The sequence below is a fragment of the Homo sapiens genome, chromosome 16 (genome assembly GCF_000001405.40).
Source record: "Homo sapiens chromosome 16, GRCh38.p14 Primary Assembly".
Classification (NCBI taxonomy): domain Eukaryota; kingdom Metazoa; phylum Chordata; class Mammalia; order Primates; family Hominidae; genus Homo; species Homo sapiens.
The window spans coordinates 29,678,702-29,699,984 of NC_000016.10; the positions used below are offsets into that span (position 1 = coordinate 29,678,702).

At 52.2% G+C, this 21,283-nt stretch overlaps 1 protein-coding gene across 5 annotated transcripts, besides 7 other annotated features; it reads left to right on the top strand.

Annotated features, from left to right (window-relative positions):
• The first annotated feature begins 306 nt into the window (after positions 1–306).
• QPRT (quinolinate phosphoribosyltransferase) lies at positions 307–19,998 on the top strand. 5 transcript variants are annotated; one of them, XM_005255223.4, is made up of 4 exons: positions 479–509; positions 15,963–16,498; positions 18,292–18,426; positions 18,498–19,998. In XM_005255223.4, the coding sequence occupies exons 1-4, from the start codon at positions 497–499 to the stop codon at positions 18,708–18,710; spliced, it is 897 nt and encodes a 298-aa protein (XP_005255280.3). In that variant the 5' UTR covers positions 479–496; the 3' UTR covers positions 18,711–19,998.
• Positions 523–1,024: an enhancer, noted in NCBI's record as "OCT4-NANOG-H3K27ac-H3K4me1 hESC enhancer chr16:29690545-29691046 (GRCh37/hg19 assembly coordinates)". NCBI's record gives its function as "activates a minimal SCP1, AML or CMV promoter by ChIP-STARR-seq in naive H9 embryonic stem cells {active_cell/tissue: H9 hESC(naive)}" and the evidence as "EXISTENCE:reporter gene assay evidence [ECO:0000049][PMID:30033119]".
• Positions 12,998–13,498: an enhancer, noted in NCBI's record as "H3K27ac-H3K4me1 hESC enhancer chr16:29703020-29703520 (GRCh37/hg19 assembly coordinates)". NCBI's record gives its function as "activates a minimal SCP1, AML or CMV promoter by ChIP-STARR-seq in naive H9 embryonic stem cells {active_cell/tissue: H9 hESC(naive)}" and the evidence as "EXISTENCE:reporter gene assay evidence [ECO:0000049][PMID:30033119]".
• Positions 12,998–13,601: a biological region, named in NCBI's record as "Sharpr-MPRA regulatory region 8247".
• Positions 13,109–13,218: an enhancer, noted in NCBI's record as "active region_10666". NCBI's record gives its function as "activates an Ori minimal core promoter by ATAC-STARR-seq in GM12878 lymphoblastoid cells {active_cell/tissue: GM12878}" and the evidence as "EXISTENCE:reporter gene assay evidence [ECO:0000049][PMID:35858748]".
• Positions 13,307–13,601: an enhancer, noted in NCBI's record as "tiled region #8247; HepG2 Activating non-DNase unmatched - State 25:Art, and K562 Activating DNase unmatched - State 25:Art". NCBI's record gives its function as "activates a minimal TATA promoter and a strong SV40 promoter by Sharpr-MPRA in HepG2 and K562 cells {active_cell/tissue: HepG2 | K562}" and the evidence as "EXISTENCE:reporter gene assay evidence [ECO:0000049][PMID:27701403]".
• Positions 16,295–16,826: an enhancer, noted in NCBI's record as "H3K4me1 hESC enhancer chr16:29706317-29706848 (GRCh37/hg19 assembly coordinates)". NCBI's record gives its function as "activates a minimal SCP1, AML or CMV promoter by ChIP-STARR-seq in naive H9 embryonic stem cells {active_cell/tissue: H9 hESC(naive)}" and the evidence as "EXISTENCE:reporter gene assay evidence [ECO:0000049][PMID:30033119]".
• Positions 20,752–20,926: a silencer, noted in NCBI's record as "fragment chr16:29710774-29710948 (GRCh37/hg19 assembly coordinates)". NCBI's record gives its function as "represses an EF-1alpha promoter that drives an FKBP-Casp9 reporter gene in an ReSE screen in HepG2 liver carcinoma cells {active_cell/tissue: HepG2}" and the evidence as "EXISTENCE:reporter gene assay evidence [ECO:0000049][PMID:32094911]".

The window sequence follows — 21,283 nt, forward strand, 5'->3', positions numbered from 1 at the left end:
AGCTCCTGTGCCCGGCCCTGTTATGCCATTTTAAAGCTAAGGAAACTGAGGCACAGAAAAAGGTAAAAAGGTACTTGAGATCAAAAAGGATGGAGTTAGGATTTGAACCCAGGTCCAGGGCCCATGATTTTCCCAGCACACCATCCAAAATGCCTGCCTGCCCTCACCAGGGAGCACATGCTTACATTCACAGCCTTGGACCCTGGGTTAGGGCCAGGAGGGCTGGGTGTTGGGTGAGAACAGGGCCTCGGGCTCCTTCACTGGCTGGGGCAGGGCTTCTGAGTTCCCCATCAGAGCCCCTCCTCTGACTTTCAGGGCCTGCTGAGGAATCTGCAGGCCTGGCAGAGGACAGGAGGGAGGCTTGGGGAGCCTGGGAAGGGCCGGCTGACAGCTTGATGGGCCCTCCCTCCCTCCACAGTCCCACCCCCAGCCTGGGGCCTCTGGGAGCCTTGGTCCTGAGCAGCCAACACACCAGCCCAGACAGCTGCAAGTCACCATGGACGCTGAAGGTAAAGGGACACTCTCTCTGCCATGTCCCTGCACCCATCCCCCCACTGCCTACCCCTGCCCCCACCCTGGCTTGTCTCAGCCCCTTGTTGCCTCCTCTGGAGTCATCTCTCCTCTGGTCCCGCCATCGACTCCCTTACCTACCCCATGTCCCTGCAGCCTTGCTCAACCCCCAGAGGCCCCTTCTCACTCTTCTTTCTCCTGTGTTGAGTCCCCAAGGAGCTCTGGGGAAGGAAGGGGCTTAAGCCCTAGAAAAGGGCAGGGTGGCCTGGAGGAGGTGGCGTCTCCTGGGGGCAGTGGGGGCCGGAAGTGGGAGGCTGGTTGGGGGAGCAGCATGGACTTCTGCTCTCGCTGGTAGCTCGGGAGAAGCAGAGACAAAGTCCTGTCCCTTCTGCAGCTGGGTGGGGGAGGGGGCTTGAGTCCCGTGATTCCCTGCCTGGAGGGAGCTGTATGCAAACTGTTGGGGTGATCAGTCCCAACCCCCAACCATGAAGTCCGGTGGCAACAAAGGAATGAGAAAAGACAAGTTAAGATTTAAAGCAGCCCCAGGGGGCCAGTTGCTAAAGTGAAGGCTGCAGAGCCCTGGTTGCCTGATAATTTATTGAGTACAATCTTTTGATCTAAGAAGCAGATGGTACGGGGTGAAACGGTGAAGGTGGGGGTGTGCGCGTCATTTGAAAGATGTATAGCCGTGGTGGTTTATGTGAATTTCCTTTAAGCTCAAAGCATATGTCTAACTACTAAGATAATCTTTTTTTTTTTTTTTTTTGAGACGGAGTCTCGCTTTCCCCCAGGCTGGAGTGCAGTGGCGTGATCTCGGCTCACTGCAAGCTCCGCCTCCCGGGTTCATGCCATTCTCCTGCCTCAGCCTCCCGAGTAGCTGGGACTACAGGCGCCCGCCGCCACGCCTGGCTAATTTTTTGTATTTTTAGTAGAGACGGGGTTTCACCATGTTAGCCAGGATGGTCTCATTTCCCAACCTCGTGATCCGCCCGTCTCTGCCTCCCAAAGTGCTGGGATTACAGGTGTTAGCCACCGTGCCCGGCCAACTAAGATAATCTTTAACTTATTGGGCTGCAGCTGGTGGGAGTGGGTTTTACAAGGAGCCAGGATGTCTGGTCACATTCCAACGCTTCAAGGAAGTGTTTCAGCCCAGAGCATTCTGTGTAAAGCCGCAGAGCAGGTCATGTTCACTGGCCTGGGGACACAATGGCAATAAGGAGGTGATTCTCCTCAGAGGCCCCCTATGGTGTTCCATAGGTGTCCTACACAGGGGTGGCTGACTAAACTGGCGCCCCGTAAACCCTTCCACCAGCACAAACCCAGGGGTCCATGCTCTACGCTCAGAAGGCTCCACCAGGGATGGGGCTGTGTGACCATGGGTGGGTCCTGGCTTCTCAGAGTCCCGTTTTCTTCCATCTGTAAAATGACAATAATAGTTCCCTGCTCTGGCCCGCCACGGTGGCTCACGCCTGTAATCCCAGCACTTTGGGAGGCTGAGGTGGGTGGAGCACTTGAGGTCAGGTGTTTGAGACCAGCCTGGCCAACATGGTGAAACCCCGTCTCTACTAAAAGTACAAAAATTAGCCGAGTGTGGTGGTGCGCACCTGTAATCCCAGCTACATGGGAGGCTGAGGCAGGAGAATTGCTTGAACCCCAGTGGCGGAGGTTGCAGTGAGCTGAGACCAGGCCTCAGCACTCCAGCCTGGGCGACAGAGCGAGACTCCATCTCAAAAAAAAAGGAAAATAAATAGTTCCCTGCTCAGAAGGTTGTGGGGAGGACAGAGGATGGGAGGCACAGGTGCTTAGACCCTCCTCCATGTTTGAGGTGCCTGCTGGCCCCATACACCCGGTCCCTCTGGCTCCACTGTGGAACCAGCTCTCAGGGGTCCCATGCAGGATGCCACGCCAAACACCTTTCAATCTCCATTGTGTCTTTCTCTTTTGAAACAACGCCGACCTGGATGTGAATCCTGACTGCCACTCAGCAGCAGTGGAAACCCTGGCAAGTTTTGTAACCTGTAGAAGCCCGTTTCCACATCTGGACAATGGAGTTGGTGGCACTGGTCTCACGGGGTTGTAATGAAGATTAAATACCTTAGCAGATGTCAAGGGGTCTCGACCTGATTCCTTCAGAGCCAGGATTCTTTACTGAGGGATCAGGGATGGGCTCTGGGGGAGTTCATGAACCCCAGAATTTGCAGGTGAAATTGTGTGTCTTTGTGAGAACACGGTTACGCATTTTTCTGGGAAGGAGATCCATAATTTTCATCAGATCCAGATTCTTTTTTTTTTTTTTTTTTTTTGAGACAGAGTCTCGCCCTGTTGTCCAGGCTGGAGTGCAGTGGCATGATCTTGGCTCGCTGCAACCTCTGCCTCCCGGGTTCAAGCGATTCTCCTGCCTCAGCCTCACGAGTAGCTGGGACTACAGGCATAAACCACCATGCCCGGCTAATTTTTGTATTTTTAGTAGAGATGGGGTGTCACCATGTTGGCCAGGCTAGCAGATCCAGATTCTTTTTTTTTTTTTTTCGAGATGGAGTCTGACTCTGTCACCAGGCTGGAGTGCAGTGGCAGGATCTCGGCTCACTGCAACCTTCACCTCCCAGGTTCAAGTGATTATCTTGCCTCAGCCTCACGAGTAGCTGGGACTACACGTGCTTCAGGCACTTGCTGCCATGTCCAGCTAATTTTGTAGTTTTAGTAGAGACAGGGTTTCACCATGTTGGCCAGGATGGTCTCGATCTCTTGACCTTGTGATCTGCCTCCTCGGCCTCCCAAAGTGCTGGGATTACAGGTGTGAGCCACCGCACCCGGCCTCTTTTGTTTTTTAGACGGGGTCTTGTTCTGTCACCCAGGCTGGTTGGTGTGCAGTAACATAATCATAGCTCACTGTTTGTAGCCTCCAACTTCTGGGCTCAAGTGGTCCTCCTGCCTCAGCCTGTGGAGTAGCTGGGACTGCAGGCGTGTGCCACCACACCTGGCTAATTAAAATAAATTTTTTTTTTTTTTAGAGATGGGTTCTTGCTGTGTTGCCCAGGCTGGTCTCAAACTCCCAGCCTCAAGCGATCCTCCAACCTCAGCCTCCCAAAAGTGTTGGGATTACAGGCATGAGCCACCGTGCCTGGCTCAAATCTTTTCATATGTGAACATCTCAGCATGTTTTCTTTCTTTCTTTTTTGAGATGGAGTTTCGCTCTTGTTGCCCAGACTGGAGTATAATGGCGTGATCTTGGCTCACTGCAACCTCTGCCTCCCAGGTTCAAGTGATTCTCCTGCCTCACTCTCCCAAGTAGCTGGGGATACAGGTGCCCACCACCATGCCCAGCTAATTTTTTTGCATTTTTTTTTTTAGTAGAGATGGGTTTTGCCGTGCTGGCCAGGCTGGTCTTGAACTCCTCACCTCAGGTGATCCACCCACCTTGGCCTCCCAAAGTGCTGGGATTACAGGCGCAAGTCACTGCGCCCAGCCTCATCATGTTTTTTTCTTAAAAGATAAAGACTTTTCTTTTTACTACAACCACAATACTATTGTCAAAACTAAACTTTAAAAATTTCCTTGGTGTTATCAAACATTCAATGTCCAGATTCCAGTGGTTTCATAAATAGCCTAATTTGCTTTTAGTTTGTTTGAATTAGGATCTAAGTAAAATCTACACTTTGTGATTGGTTAGTATGTTTTAAGAGTCTTTGAAACTTTATTTTTTTGATTAAAAAATGTTTAATTTAGAGATAGGGGTCTCACTATATTGCACAGGCTGGTCTCAAATGCCCCAAAGTGCTGGGATTACAGGTATGAGCCACCACACCTGACTGATTCTTTTTTTTTTTTTTTGAGATGGAATCTCACTCTGTTGCCCAGGCTGGAGTGCAGTGGCGCAACCTCGGCTCACTGCAACCTCCGCCTCCCAGATTCAAGCGATTCTCTCACCCCAGTCTCCCGAGTAGCTGGGATTACAGGCGTGCACCACCACACATGGATAAATTTTGTATTTTTTTAGTAGAGACAGCGCTTCACCATGTTGTCCAGGCTGGTCTCGAACTCCTGACCTAAGGTGATCTTAGGCCCACCTTGGCCTCCCAAAGTGCTGGGATTACAGGTGTGACCACCACGCCCAGCCAATATGTGGTCTTATGAGAGCATTGGTTCTTTTTTTTTTTTCCCTGAGGCAGGGTCTCACCCTGTTGCCTAGGCCAGAGTGCAGTAGCTCCATCATAGCTCACTGCAGCCTCCAACTCCTGGACTCAAGGGATCCTCCCACTTCAGCCTTCTGAATAGCTAGGACTACAGGCGTGTGTCACCATGCCCAGCTAATTTTTAAAATTGTTTTTGTAGAGATGGGTTCTCACTATGCTGCCCAGGCTGGTCTCAAACTCCTGGCCTCAAGCGATCCTTCTGCCTCGGCCTCCCAAAGTGTTGGGATTACAGGCATGAGCCACCGCCCCTGGCCGAGCATTGATTCTTGATCCTCATGTGCATCTGAGTCACAGAGCAGGGTGGGGGCTGGCTCTTCCCCAACCTGGATCCCTGGAAACTACCCCCAGAGATTCTGGTTCACTGGGTTGGAATGGGCCTGAGCATCTGAAAGTTTGAAAAGCTCCCTGTGATTCTGGTGTGCAGCCCAGGCAGAGGCCCCACTGTGTCCACTTCTCTTGAAAGGAGTGGTTCACACCAACACCCCCACTTCCCTACCTCCCGTGCGCTCCTCGAGCATGACAATGTGGCTTCTGCCCCCGACACATGGCACAAAAACCGCTCTGGCACAGGCCTCACAGTTGCTAAGTGCAGAGCCCCATCCTCAGTCTTCCTTCTATTTACTTCTGCTCACCTCCCAAAACCCTCTTCTCCTTCCCAGGTACCCACTCCTGATGATGCTTCTCTTTTTGTTGGACATGCCCTGTGGGTTCTTTATCTTATTATTTTATTTTAGAGACCGTGGCTTGCTCTGTCACCCAGGCTGGAGTGCAGTGGTGCAATCACAGGTCACTGCAGCCTCCAACTCCTGGACTCAAGCCGCAGCCTCCCGAGTAGCTGGCGAGTAGCTGGGACTACAGGCGTGCACCCCCATGCCCAGCTAACTTTTTCTTTTTTTCTTTTGTTTTTTGAGACGGAGTTTTGCTCTTGTTGCCCAGGCTGGAGAGCAATGGCACTATCTCGGCTTACTGCAACCTCTGCCTCCCAGGTTCAAGCGATTCTCCTGCCTCAGCCTCCTGAGTAGCTGGGATCACAGGCGCCCACCACCACGCCTGGCTAATTTTTGTATTTTTAGTAGAGACGGGGTTTTGCTATGTTGGCCCCGGAGTTCAATTTTTGTATTTTTAGTAGAGACGGGGTTTCACCGTTTTCACCAGGATGGTCTTGATCTCCTGACCTCGTGATCCTCCCGCCTCGGCCTCCCAAAGCGCTGGGATTACAGGCGTGAGCCACCGCGCCTGGCCACGGCAGCATCTCTTCTGAACTCCAGAGCCATTCCCTACCACCCTCTGGGCACCACCATCCACATCTCCTGCTGCCGCCTCAGCCTTAACCTCTGCAAAACCAAATCCGTTCTTTCTCTCGAGCTCTGCAGAAGCTAAGCTGTTTCACCAGGCCACGATTCAGGAAACGCTTTGGGATTCAGCTTCTGTTCTTGTGAAATGGGAAGAATCCCTGTGGTGAGCTCCAGATGAGAGCACAAAGGGGAACAGGGGTGCCCGCGGCTGGCACGCCATGGCTGGCACGCCATGGCACTCAGTGGGGTCACCGCCCCCTCCTGCTGTCCCACCTCCACCCTGCCTGCTCTTCTCCTGGAATGACTCCTTCTGCCAGCTCTCAGCTACCCAGGCCAGAGGCCCAAGGCTCCCACATCTCTTTAGCTACTAATTCTGGTAGATCCCCTTTTGGAAATAGCCCTCAAATCTACCCCAGAGCTACTGTCAAAGTTCAGGGCTCCATCTCTTTTGGTTTTTTTGAAAATATTTTTTCAAATTAATTATTTGTTGGCCGGGCGCAGTGGCTCACACCTGTAATCCCAGCACTTTGGAAGGCCGAGGCAGGTGGATCACCTGAGGTCAAGAGTTCAAGAACCAGCCTGACCAACATGGTGAAACCCCATCTCTACAAAAATACAAAAATTAGCCAGGGATGATGCTGCATGCCTGTAATCCCAGCTACTCGGGAGGCTGAGGCGGGAGAACCACTTGAACCCGGGAGGCAGAGGTTGCAGTGAGTTGAGATCACACCATTGCACTCCAGCCCAGGCGACAGTGAGACTCCGTCTCAAACAAAAAAAAATTATTTGTGGAGGCAGGGTCCCACTATGTTGCCCAGGCCTCAAGTGGCCCTCCTGCCTTGGCCTCCCATAGCACTGGGATTACAGGTGACAGCCACCGCGCCCAGCCTACTTTTTGTCTGGCCAAGACTACCTCAGCCTTCTTTTGCCTCCCAATCTGTCTCCAGTTGGTGGCTGAAGTGACCCTTCTGGAGCAAAACCATAATCATATCACTCCCTCTTTTAAAATTCTGTGATGGGTCAGGCATGGTGGATCACACTTGTAATCCCAGCACTTTGGGAGGCCGAGGTGGGAGGACTGCTTGAGCCCAGGAGTTCAAGACCAGCCTGGGCAACATAGCGAGACCCCCCGTCTCTACTTAAAAATAATAAAATAAAATGAAAAGAAAATTTTTTTTGAGATGGAGTTTCGCTCTTGTTGCCTAGGCTGGAATACAATGGTGGGATCTCAGCTCACGGCAACCTCCACCTCCCGGGTTCAACCGATTCTCCTGCCTCAGCCTCCTGAGTAGTTGGGATTACAGGCATGTGCCACCATGCCCGGCTAATTTTGTATTTTTAGTAGAGACGGGGTTTCACCATGTTGGTCAGGCTGGACTCGAACTCCTGACCTCAGGTGATCGGCCCACCTCGGCCTCCCAAAGTGCTGGAATTACAGGTGTGAGCCACTGTGTCCGGCCAATAAAATGAAATTTTATGATGGCTTCTGCGATCTGGCCAAATTCCTCAGCTAAATAGTTTAGTTCTTTCTCCCTGTGGCCTCTCCTCCCACCATGTCACCTGTGAATCCCACACTGCCCCCACCCCGACACTGTCTGCAGGTGAACAGATCAGTTTTCTCAGCCCCAAATGTCAGCCCCACCCCACACCTCTGCCTGGCAAACATCACTCACCGGTCCTCAGAGACACCTAGTCATTTATTCCATGAGTCCACCACACTTGAGAAACGCTTCTTTTCTTCGCGAGCACGCCTACCCTGTGCTAGACAGTGTTCCTAAGGGCTTTCAAACATAAAGTCTTTTGTTTTTTGTTTTTGAGACGCAGTCTTGCTCTGTCGCCCAGGCTGGAGTGCGGTGGCACAATCTTGGCTCACTGCAACCTCCGCCTCCCAAGTTCAAGCAATTCTCTGCCTCAGCCTCCCGAGTAGCTGGGATTACAGGCGCTCGGCTTTTTATTTTTTTAATTTTTTTTATTTTTTGTATTTTTAGTAGAGACGGGGTTTCACCATCTTGGCCAGGCTGGTCTTGAACTCCTGACTTCAAGTGGTCCACTTGCCTCGGCCTCCCAAAGTTCTGGGATTATAGGCGTGAGCCACTGTGCCCAGCCTCCAACTCCTGGCCTTGTCTTCCTCCCACCCTGGCTTCCCAGAGTGCTGGGATTAACAGACATGAGCCTCCACACCTGGCAACTTCTTTCCATTTTTCACTGATTCTCTGACACATCCTCATTGAGCACCTGCACTGTGTGGGGTGTTAATAATTGCTAGGCATGGAGGCAACAGCGTGGGCAGCTCTTTCTCTTACTTGTCAGGCTTTAGCCTATGCTGTTGCAGGACTGTGCCTTGGCCTGGAAGCCCCTTCCCTTATCCTCATCCCCAATCTCCCCCTTCAGCTCTTGTTCCTCTTGCAGGTCTTCCCTTAAACATCACTTCCTCAGCAGGGGCCTCACAGACACGCCCGGAGGTTAGATCCTGGTCCCTCTGTGCTTCCTGTTCTTCCCCCATCATCACAGTCTACGGCTGTTTCCTCTCGATGGGCAAAGACTGTGTCTGGCCATTGAGTTTTCTGCTATATCCAAGTGCTTCGTATACTGAACCATATAAATGTGCTGCTTTTATTGGTCAAAACGGCCAAATATTGGCAATTTTATATTGGTTAGCTTCATAGTATGTGAGCTAGGATACTTATCCCATCAGAGAGGTTGCGTAGCACAGTGAATCAGAGCCCAGGCTCTGGGGCCGCACACCTGAGGTCCAGCCCTGGCTCTGCCACTTGTCACTAAGTGATTGTGGACTGGAGACAACCCTCAGGGGCCTTGGGTTCCTAATCTGTGACAGGGATGACAATAATGACCTCCTCGTGCTGTTATAAAATACAGAAATGTACTAAAATACAAAAATTGGCCAGGCATGGTGGCACATGCCTGTAATCCCAGCTACTCAGGAGGCTGAGGCAGGAGAACTCAGGAGGCAGAGGCTGCAGTGAGTCTACTTTTATTGCCAAAGCTCGGGGGTCCATCCCTTTTCCATTGCATGCCACTGCACTCCAGCCTGGGCAACAAAGTGAGACTGTCTCAGAAAAAAGAAAAAGAAAAAAATGTTTAAAAGCCAGGAGTTTGAGACCCTGTCTCTATTAAAAAAAAAAAAAATTACCTTGGCATGGTGGAGCAGCTACTCAGGAGGCTGAGGTGAGAGGACCACATGAGCCCGGGAGTTCAAGGCTGCAGTGAGCCATGATTGCACCACTGCATTCCACTCTGTCTCAAAAAGAAAGAAAGAAAAAAGTCAAGAGAACTGGAGCTGAAACCATGAAAGGTCAGTTTTCAGCAGGAGAGTGATCAAAGAAAACCAGAACTAGACAGTCGTTAAAATAGCAAAAACATATTGCATTCCAGACTATTGCTGTAGGGGAAGAGTGACCTTAGATCAGAACTGGGCTGAACTCTACACCATGGGGGTTATAGCCAACGAGCAGAGTTGGGGGCAGTGGATGGGACATTACCATGAGAAAGCACTGGGGGTTGGGGGTATTCTGACAAGACCAACCTAAAGGGATTCTTGCTGAGGGCAGGCCAAGGTGGTCAGACAGCGCCTGGGGGAGAGTGGAGAATGAGGACCCCCATCAGGGATCGGGGGCAATCAGATGTGGAGGATGAGGGACTGGCTAAGCTGACTTAGCAGTATTCTTGCTAAAATTGGACGATGCAGAGGTGAACACGGAAGTCCAAGGCCTAACTGGAAAAGAGCTGAGGGAACCTGAGTGAGGTTTGGCTATAGACAGAACCTCTGAGTGAGCCCATCAAAGTTACTTTATTTATTTGTTTGTTTATTAATTTATTTAAGACAGAGTCTCACTCTGTCGCCCAGGCTGGAGTACAGTGGTGCTATCTCGGCTCACTGCAAACTCTGCCTCCTAGGTTCAAGCAATTCTCGTGCCTCAGCCTCCCGAGGAGCTGGGATTACAGGCACATGCCACCACACCCAGCTAAGTTTTGTGTTTTTAGTAGGGACAGGGTTTTGCCATGTTGGACAGGCTGGTCTTGAACTCCTGACCTCAGGCTAATTTTTTGTTTGTTTTTATTCTCTTTTTTTTTTTTTTTGAGACTGAGTTTCGCTCTTGTTGGCCAGGCTGGAGTGCAATGGCGCGATATTGACTCACTGCAACCTCTGCCTCCTGGGTTCAAGCGATTCTCCTGCCTCAGCCTCCCGAGTAGCTGGGACTACAGGCGCACACCACCATGCCCGGCTAATTTTTGTATTTTTAGGAGAGACGGGGTTTCATAATATTGGTCAGGCTGGTCTCAAACTCCTGATCTCAGGTGATTCGCCTGCCTCAGCCTCCCAAAGTGCTGGGATTACAGGCGTGAGCCACCGCGCCCAGCCTTTTGTTTGTTTTTAAATTTAACTTTTTTTTTGAGACCGAATTGCACTCTGTCACCCAGGATGGATTGCAATGGCGCAATCTCAGCTCATTGCAACCTCTGCCTCCTGGGTTCAAGAGATTCTCCTGCCTCAGCCTCCCAAGTAGCTGGGATTACAGGCGCCTGCCACCACAGCTGGTTAATTTTTGTGTTTTTAGTAGAGATGAGGTTTTGCCATGTTGGACAGGCTGGTCTTGAACTCCTGACCTCAGGTGATCAACCCACCTTGGCCTCCCAAAGTGCTGGGATTACGGGCATGAGCCACCATGCCCGGCCTTAACTTTTATCTTAAGTTCAGGGGTACATGTGCAGGTTTATTATATAGGTAAACTTGTGTCATGGGGGTTGTACACATTATTTAGTCACCCAGGTATTAAGTTTAGTACCCATTAGTTATTTTTCCTGATCCTCTTGAGGGAAGAGAGAGACCCTCTCATATTGTTTCATACTCAGAAAAGGAAAGAGAAGCGAAACTAAAGGCAGGTAGCCTGGTGCCTAGGAACCAGACCGGAAACCAAGGAACCAGACCCGAAATCAGGCCTGGGCGTGCCTGACCTAAGCCTGGTAGTTAAAATTCGACCCCTGACCTAGCAACTGTTGTTATCTATAGATTCCAGACATTGTATGGAAGGACATTGTGAAACCTCCCGTTAGGTTCTGTTTCACTCTGACCACCGGTGCTCGCAGCCCCTGTCACGTACCCCCTGGCTTGCTCAATCACGACCCTCTCACGCGGACCCCCTTAGAGTTGTGAGCCGTTAAAAAGGACAGAAGTTGAGCACCTGAAGAGCTCGGATTTTAAGACGCTAGCCTGCCAATGCTCCCAGCTGATTAAAGCCACTCCCTTCACTATCTTGGTGTCTGAGGGGTTTTGTCCACAGCTCGTCTTGCTACACTTGCCCTCCTCCAAACTTCCGCCCTCCAATAGGCTCCAGTATGTGTTATTCCCCTCTATGTGTCCATGTGTTCTCATCATTTAGCTCCCACTTATAAGTGAGAACACGCGGTATTTGGTTTTCTGTTCCTGCGTTTGTTTGCTAAGGATAATGGCCTCCAGCGCCATCCATGTCCCTGCAAAGAACGTAATCTCATTCTTTTTTGTGGCTGCATAGTATTCCACGGTGTATGTGTACCACACTTTCTTTGTCCAGTCTAGCATTGATGGGCATTTAGGTTGAATCATGTCTTTCCTATGGTGAATAGTGCTGTGATGTGTCTTTATAACAGAATGGTTTACATTCCTTTGGGTATATACCCAGTAATGGGATTGCTGGGTGGAATGGTATTTCTGGTTTTTGGTCTTTGAGAAATTGCTGCACTGTCCTCCACGATGGTTTAACTAATTTACACTCCCACCAACAGTGTATAAGTGATCCTTTTTCTTTGCAACCTCGCCAGATCTCGGTGGTCAACTCCTCCCACTCCCCAGGCAATGCTGATTTGCTCTGTGCCTATAGTTTTGCCTTTCCCAGGATGCTGCGGGAATGGGATCATACGGCCTTTTGGATCTGGCTCCTTTTAGTTAGACTGATACATTTGAGACAGGTCCCTATTGTTGTGTGTATCAGTAGTTGGTTTCTTCTTTTTTTGAGATGGATTCTCAGTCTGTGGTCCAGGCTGGAGTGCAGCGGCATGACCTCAGCTCACTGCAAACTCCGCCTCCCTGGTTCAAGTGATTATCCTGCCTCAGCCTCCCAAGTAGCTGGGATTACAGGCACATGCCACCACGCCCGGCTAGTTTTTGTATTTTTTCGTAGAGATGGGATTTCACCATGTTGGAGAGGCTGGTCTTGAACTCCTGACCTCGTGATCTGCCCACCTTGGCCTCCCAAAGTGCTGGAATTACGGCGTGAGCCATGGTGCCCAGCCTGCATCACAGGTTGTTTACCCAATACTCACCAGTTGCAGAATTCAAATCCATTTTTTAAAAAATCAGCCTGAAAAAAAAAGAAAAAAATCAGTCTGGCCAGGCACGGTGGCTCACGCCTGTAATCCCAGCACTTTGGGAGGCCAAGGCGGGAGGATCACCTGAGGTCAGGAGTTTGAGAGCAGCCTGGCCAAAATGGCAAAACCCTGTCTCTACTAAAAATACAAAAATTAGCTGGGCGTGGTGGCGGGCACCTGTAATCCCAGCTACTTGGGAGGCTGAGGCAGAAGAATCCCTGGAACCCGCGGGACGGAGGTTGCAGTGAGGTGACATCAGGCCACTTCACTCCAGCCTGGGCAAAAGAGTGAAGCTCTGCATCAAAAAAAAAAAAAAAAAAAAAAAAAAAAAATCAGGGTGGGCACAGTGGCTCACTCCTGTAATCCCAGGACTTTGAGAGGCTGAGGTGCGAGGATTGCTTAAGCCTGGGAGTTCAAGACGAGGCTGGGGAATATAGTGAGACCCCCATCTCTACAACAAAAAATATACAAAAATTAGCCGGGCATGGTTGGTGTGCGCCTGTAGTCCCAGTTCCTTGGGAAGCTGAGGCGAGAGGATTGCTTAAGCCTGGGCAGTTGAGGCTGCAGTGAGCCATGATCGTGCCACTGCACTGCACCTAGTTTGAATGGAGTGGGAGTGGGGGATTAGGCTCTCCTCCCTGCCGTTTGCTCCCAGGCCTTTTCCGTAGCTGGATGTGACCAACAGAGACAGTGCCCAGCCTCAGTATAGCTAGCTCTTAGTGGAGGGACAGGAGCCATCTGGGGCAGATGTGGGAGAGAATGTGGCGAAGGAGAGCCGGGTGCAGTCAAGGAGGCTTGTGGCTCGGAGGGGAGGTGGGGTGAGTGAGTGGAGACTCAGCAGCTTGGCTTTGGGGAAGTAGACAAGAGAGGGCCCTCTTTGGAGAGCGGAGCAAGCCAGGATGTCTGGCCTTCACTTCCACTTGGAACAGAAGTGTGCTGTGTGCGCGTGCTTGTGCGTGTGCGTGCACGTGTGTGCGCGCTAAATCAAACACCCTCGCTGGCTCTGTGTTCCCCTCAAGGGGAAGCCAACTCCACGGATGGCGGGGGTCCATTAGGCTGCAGGTCTTCTCCCTGCCGATAGATGGCGCTGTTGCACCGCGCCTGGGTTTGCCTCTGCCCGCAGCCATGCAGGGCCCATCACGGGCTATGCCTACCGCGCGAGGGGCCTTCACCATGTCCACTATCCTTATTTATTTATTTATTTATTTATTTATTTATTTTTTAAGTGTGGGTACTGGCCGGGCGCGGTGGCTCACGCCTGTAATCCCAGCACTTTGGGAGGCCGAGGCGGGCGGATCACGAAGTCAGGAGATTGAGACCATCCCAGCTAACACGGTGAAACCCCGTCTCTACTAAAAACACAAAAAAATTAGCCAGGCGTGGTGGTGGGCGCCTGTAGTCCCAGCTACTCGGGAGGCTGGGGCAGGAGAATGGCGTGAACCCGGGAGGCGGAGCTTGCCGTGAGCCGAGATCGCGCCACTGCAACAGAACGAGACTATCTCCAAAAAAAAAAAAAAAGTGTGGGTATATAGTAGGTGTATATATTTATGGGGTGCACATTGATAAAGGCATGCAATGCATAATAATCACATCATGGGCTAGATGCGGTGGCTGACGCCGAGATCGCGCCTCTGCAGTCGCCAGGCCACTGCAGGCGCCACAGTGGCGACAGAGCGAGACTCCGTCTCAAAAAAACAAATAAATAAATAAATCAGGTTAGGCCGGGCGCAGTGGCTCACGCCTGTAATCCCAGCACTTGGGAGGCGGAGGCGGGCGAATCACGAGGTCAGGAGTTCCAGACCAGCCTGGCCAACATGGTGAAACCCCGTCTATACTAAAAATACAAAATTTAGCCGGGTATGGTGGCAGGCGCCTGTAACCCCAGCCACTCGGGAGGCTGAGGCAGGCGAATCGCTTGAATCCGGAAGGCGGAGGTTGAAGCGAGCCGAGATCACTCCATTGCACTCCAGCCTGGGCAACAAGAGTGAGATTCTGTCTCAAAAAAAAAAAAAAAAAATTACATCATAGAGAATGGGGTGTCCATCCCCTCAAGCATTTATCCTTTCTGTTACAATCCAATTGCATTCTTTTAGTTATTTCGAAATGTACAGTTATTATTGACTGTAGTCACCCTGTTGTGCTAGCAAATAGTAGGTCTTATTCATTCTTTCTATTTTTTTTGTACCCATTAACCTTCCCCACCTCCCCATCATCCTTTTTTTTGTTTTGAGACGGAGTCTTGCTCTGTCACCCAGGCTGGAGTGCAGTGGCACGATCTCAGCTCACTTCAACCTCTGCCTCCTGGGTTCAAGCGATTCTCCTGCTTCAGCCTCCCGAGTGGCTAGGATTACAGGCCTGCGCCACTATACTTGGCTCATTTTTTTCGGGGTTTTGCCATGTTGGCCAGGCTGGTCTTGAACTCCTGACCTCAGGTGATCCACCTGCCTCAGCCTCCCAAAGTGCTGGGATTACAAGCATGAGCCACTGTACCCAGCCCCATCATCCTCATTTTATTTATTTTTTATTTTTATTACTATTTTTTTAGGTGGAGTCTTGCTCTGTCACCCAGGCTGGAGTGCAGTGGCGTGACCTCGGCTCACTGCAACCTCTGCTTCCCGGGTTCAAGCAATTCTCTTGCCTCAGCCTCCCGAGTAGCTGGGATTGCAGGCGCCTGCCACCACGCCCGGCTAATTTTTGTATTTTTAGTAGAGACAGGAGGGTTTTACCATTTTGGCTAGGCTGGTCTCAAACTCCTGACCTCAGGTGATCCTCCCGCCTTGGCCTCCCAAAGTGCTGGGATTACAGGCGTGAGCCACCGCGCCTGGCCAGACTGATTTTTTTTTTAAGTGAATTTGAAAGCTGCAACTGGTGAGTATTGGATAAACAAACTGTGATGGGATTGCAGGTGTCCACCCCCAAGCCTGGCTAATTTTTGTATTTTTAGTAGAGACCATGTTGGCCAGGCTGGCCTTGAACCCCTGACCTCAAGTGATCTGCCTGCCCCAGCCTCCCAAAGTGTTTGGGATTACAGTCGTGAGCCACCGCACCCGGTCAGAAGTTTAATTTTTTTTTTTGAGACGGAGTCTTACTCTGTCACCCCGGCTGGAGTGCAGTGGCCTGATCTCGGCTCACTGCAAGCTCCACCTCCCAGGTTCACGCCATTCTCCTGCCTCAGCCTCTGGAGTCGCTGGGACTACAGGCGCCCGCCACCAAGCCTGGCTAATTTTTTCGTATTTTTAGTAGAGACGGGGTTTCACCATATTAGCCAGAATGGTCTCGATCTCCTGACCTCGTGATCCGCCCGCCTCGGCCTCTCAAAGTACTGGGATTACAGGCGTGAGCCACCGCGCCCGGCCCAGAAGTTTAAATTTAACTAGGTGCCCAGTGATCTCATCAAGCCCACAGCACTCCCTCACCCTCGCCCCCACAACCTCCCTTCCCCCCACGCCCCCCTTCCTCACCGCAGTCCCCCCCCTGGGACCCCTAGATCTTGAGGCTGATGGGCCAGTTCCCAGTTTCACTGGTTGTTAAATATTTTGACAGTGACCCCTGACAGCAGGAGAGGCAGCCAAACTCAACAGCTGTTCTCTCTTCCCCCCAGGCCTGGCGCTGCTGCTGCCGCCCGTCACCCTGGCAGCCCTGGTGGACAGCTGGCTCCGAGAGGACTGCCCAGGGCTCAACTACGCAGCCTTGGTCAGCGGGGCAGGCCCCTCGCAGGCGGCGCTGTGGGCCAAATCCCCTGGGGTACTGGCAGGGCAGCCTTTCTTCGATGCCATATTTACCCAACTCAACTGCCAAGTCTCCTGGTTCCTCCCCGAGGGATCGAAGCTGGTGCCGGTGGCCAGAGTGGCCGAGGTCCGGGGCCCTGCCCACTGCCTGCTGCTGGGGGAACGGGTGGCCCTCAACACGCTGGCCCGCTGCAGTGGCATTGCCAGTGCTGCCGCCGCTGCAGTGGAGGCCGCCAGGGGGGCCGGCTGGACTGGGCACGTGGCAGGCACGAGGAAGACCACGCCAGGCTTCCGGCTGGTGGAGAAGTATGGGCTCCTGGTGGGCGGGGCCGCCTCGCACCGCTACGACCTGGGAGGGCTGGTGATGGTGAAGGATAACCATGTGGTGGCCGCCGGTGGCGTGGAGAAGGTGCTGGTCCTGCCTGTCCCTGGTCCAACCCCACCCTCAGCACACCCCTCCCCTCCCCTCCCCTCTCCAGAGCCTCCAGCCATGACCGGGTGAACAGCCATGGCCTGGAGTCAGCAACACAAGACTCTTCCCACCTCAGCTCCTCCATCTGAGCTGGGCTCAGTTGAGCTCATCCAGCTAAGCTAAAGGGGAGCTGGGCCTGCTTTTCTTTTTCTGGAGATGGGGCCTCAGTCTCTCCAGTAGCTGGATATACAGGCATGCTCCACCCCACTGGCTAATTTTTGCTTTTTTTTTTTTTTTTTTTTTTTGAGATGGAGTCTCACTCTTTCACCCAGGCTGGAGTGAAGTGATGCAATCTCGGCTCACTGGAACCTCTGCCTCCTGGGTTCAAGCAATTCTCCTGCCTCCGCCTCCCGAGTAGCTGGGATTACAGGCGCCAGCCACCATGCCCGGCTAATTTTTGTATTTTTTAGTAGAGACAGGGATTCACCATGTTGGCCAGACTGGTCTCAAACTCCTGACCTCAGGTGATCCACCCACCTCGGCCTCCCAAAGTGCTGGGATTACAGGAGTGAGCCACTGCACCCAGCTGCCTTTTTTTTTTTTTTTTTTTTTTTTGAGATGGGGTCTCACTATGTTGCCCAGGCTGGTCTCAAACTTCTGGACTCAAGTGATCCTCCCACCTTGGCCACCCAAAGTGCTGGGATTATAGGCATAAGCCACCATGCCTGGTTTTGGAATTGGTTCTTTATCTTTGTTCTGCTGCTGCGTGGCGTGATGTTCAAGAGCAAAGGACAACACAGGGGAAGCCAGTGTCACTGGCACCACAGCCTTGAGCCCATCTCTCTAGCCCTCTGCACCTTATTTCCCATCTGTGAAATGCCCTTAAACACCCCTTCTAATTTTAATATTCTGAGTCAAATTGAGCTCAGGTCCAAATGCCAAATATTGCTGATATTCATCCACTTTTTGACCCACAAAAGTGGTCATTTTAACCTACAATAAAACATCCTGGCTCAGTGGCTCATACCTGTAATCCCAGCACTTTGGGAGGCCCAGTTGGGGGGATTACTTAAGTCCAGGAGTCTGAGACCAGCCTGGGCCATATAGCAAGATTCTGTCTCTACAAAAAATTAAAAAATTAGCCATGCTTGTGGGCAAGCCCCTGTAGTCCCAGCCACTTGGGAGGCTGAGGTGGGAGGATCACTTGATCCCAGGAGGTGGAGGCTGCAGTGAACTATGACTGCACTGAACTCCAGCCTGGGCGACAGAGCGGGACCCTGACTCAAAAACAAAACAGTGGCCAGGTGCGGTGGCTCACGCCTGTAATCCCAGCACTTTGGGAGGCTGAGATGGGTGGATCACGAGGTCATGAGTTAGAGACCATCCTGGCCACCATGGTGAAACGTCGTCTCTATTAAAAATACAAAAATTAGCTGGGCATGGTGGCACGCACCTGTAGTCCCAGCTACTCGGGAGACTGAGGTGGGAGAATCACTTGATCCCAGGAGGTAGAGGCTGCAGTGAGCTATCATTGCACCACTGCACTCCAGCCTGGGCGACAGGTTGAGACCCTGTCTCAAAAACAAAACAAAGCAAAAACAACCCCAAAGTCTGGTTTCCTTATTAACCCCAAGTTCATGGTCCACCCGAAGCTTTTCAAATGTCAGTCCCGGCTCCCCGCGCCCCAGCTGCAGTGCTGGGCCCTATCGTCACCCTCGCCCTCCCGGCTCCCTGCGCCCCAGTGCCAGGTGCTGGGCCCAGTCCTCACCCTTGTCCTCCCGGCTGCCCAGCAGGCGGTGCGGGCGGCCAGACAGGCGGCTGACTTCACTCTGAAGGTGGAAGTGGAATGCAGCAGCCTGCAGGAGGCCGTGCAGGCAGCTGAGGCTGGTGCCGACCTTGTCCTGCTGGACAACTTCAAGCCAGAGGTAAGGTGGGCTCTGCCTCCGGGGAGGGATCTGTGGTGGGCTCTTACCTCCCCTTGGCTTGTGTCCCGCAGGAGCTGCACCCCACGGCCACCGTGCTGAAGGCCCAGTTCCCGAGTGTGGCTGTGGAAGCCAGTGGGGGCATCACCCTGGACAACCTCCCCCAGTTCTGCGGGCCGCACATAGACGTCATCTCCATGGGGATGCTGACCCAGGCGGCCCCAGCCCTTGATTTCTCCCTCAAGCTGTTTGCCAAAGAGGTGGCTCCAGTGCCCAAAATCCACTAGTCCTAAACCGGAAGAGGATGACACCGGCCATGGGTTAACGTGGCTCCTCAGGACCCTCTGGGTCACACATCTTTAGGGTCAGTGGCCAATGGGGCACATTTGGCACTAGCTTGAGCCCAACTCTGGCTCTGCCACCTGCTGCTCCTGTGACCTGTCAGGGCTGACTTCACCTCTGCTCATCTCAGTTTCCTAATCTGTAAAATGGGTCTAATAAAGGATCAACCACATGGGGTTCTGCGGTGATAATGAGCACATAGTGAGGGGTCAGCAAATGTCAGAAGTTACCTGGGACAGCCGGGCACGATGGCTCACACCTGTAATCCCAGCACTTTGGGAGGCTGAGGCGGGAAGATCACTTGAGTTCAGGAGTTTGAGACCAGCCTGGCCAACATGGTGAAACCCCATCTCTACCAAAAATAGAAGAATTAGCTGGGTGTGGTGGCACGCGCCTGTAATCCCAGCTACTTAGGAGGCTGAGGCAGGAGAATCGCTTGAACCCAGGAAGTGGAGGTTGCAGTGAGCTGATGGTGCCACTGCACTCCAGCCTGGGTGATAGAGCGAGACTCTGTCTCCAAAGAAGAAACAAAGGAAAGAAAGAGAGAAAGAGAGAGGGAGGGAGGGAGGGAGGGAAAGGAAGGATGGAAAGAAAGGAAGAAAGGCAGGCAAAAGCCCCAGACAGGCCAAAACCTTCATCCTTCATGCACCCAACCTGTACCAAACACCAGCATGGCCTGGCTGTGAGTGCACAGCAGATGGAGGTTTGCTGGGCAGAGACACTGGGCTGGCCTAGACACTGCCTTTGGTGATACCCTAAACCAAAGGGGCCAGTCCCACAGTAAGAAGGAGACCACTACTACTCCTGCTGCCCTCCTCCCCCCACCTTGCCTAGTTTACAAGACAGGAGGAAAGAGAGAAAGCAAAAAGTTAGAAAACAAAACAAAACAGAAGTAAGATAAATAGCCAGAAGACCTTGGCGACACCACCCGGCCCTGGTAGTTAAAAAAAAGTAACAATAATAATAATATCAACCCCTGACCTAAACTACTTGTGTTATCTGTAAATTCCAGACATTGTATGAAAAAGCATTGCAAAACTTTCTGCTCTGTTAGCTGATGCGTGTAGCCCCCAGTCACGTTCCCCGCTTGCTTGAGATATCATGACCCTTTCACGTGGACCCCTTAGAGTTGTAAGCCTTTAAAAAGGCCAAGAATTTCTTTTTCAGGGATCTCAGCTATTAAGATGCAAGTCTGCCAATGCTCCTGGCCAAATAAACCTCTTCCTTCTTTAATCCGGTGCCTGAGGAGTTTTGTCTGTGGCTCGTCCTGCTACAAGAGGACACAGCCCAGAGGTGCCACCTGCAGCTGCCCTGTCCCCTCTAATCCCAGCTCCACCCTGCCTGCTCCCGTCCTTCCTCCAGGGGGAACATGGACACGCTCAGATGAACCCCAGCTTCTTATGCCTGAACTGGGGAAACTGAAGCCCCATGGGACCAGGGGTTCCACTGGGCATCAAGGGAGGAAAGTTGAGCCCCGGGGTGATCTGGGAACTGGGATCTGGGATCTGGGCAGGCATTGGGGCCTGACAGAGCAGAAGTGAGGAGAGGGTACCAGGAGCTGCAAACTCGGTGCCTCCAGGACCTATTCGGATAAAATAAATGGGTGGAACTGGAATAAGACAAAGTGGGGGTGCGCTGTGGCCAACTGGAAAATGCTCGTTGCAGCCACAGCGTTCCATTAAAAAAGCGAAAGGAACCTGCCTGCCTGAGTCTTAAGCTCCCCCTAAACCCAGAAATGGGTTAGCCCTCCAGTATCCTCCAGCTCTGAGAGCTGGGGCGGGCACTCCATTACTGGGGGAACAGGAAATGGATCCTGGGCACTCTAGGGCAACACACGCCCTCCTTGCAGGGAAATGGATTTCCAGGCAGGGGAGATGCATGGGCAGAGGTGGCTTGGATTGTTTGCTGTAAGATTTGAAGCTGTGATCAGGAGGTGGCTAGGAGATGGGCTGGGTCCAGACCACAAAATGGTAGATCGGAGGATTTGGACTCTGTCTCATGAGTGAGCTGGAAATCAAGCTGGAAAATCAGATAAGCTTATTCGCAGCTTCAATCCAGTCCGTTGCAGAAGGATGCATTTGAGGGGGCTAGAGCAGCTGCAGGGAGGCCAGGAGGAGCTGTGGAAGAGGACTTGAGTGTGGGTCATGGCCATGGGGTTTGGAGAGAAGTGATACAGTGTCTTCAGAGCTTCAGAAGGCAGAGGGAGTTCGATGGCTCAAGGCAGTTGGAAGAGTTGGGTGTGACTGAGGGGGTGGGGAAATGGGGCATGCGTGGCAGGCAAGGACTCTTATGCATCACCTCCCAGTCCCTTGTCCATCTGGCTACACTTCCTCTTTGCCTGGCCAGCCTAGGACCAAGCTGGGATCATTTCCCCAGGATGCCCCACAGACAATGGCAAATGTGCCCATCATAGCAGTTTGTTTAATGAAAATGATATGCTGTTGTGAGTACGGGATGTGCCAGCAATGCTGGCTACTGCATGAGACGGGAGCTAGCAGGGAGCACCTTCATCCAGGGT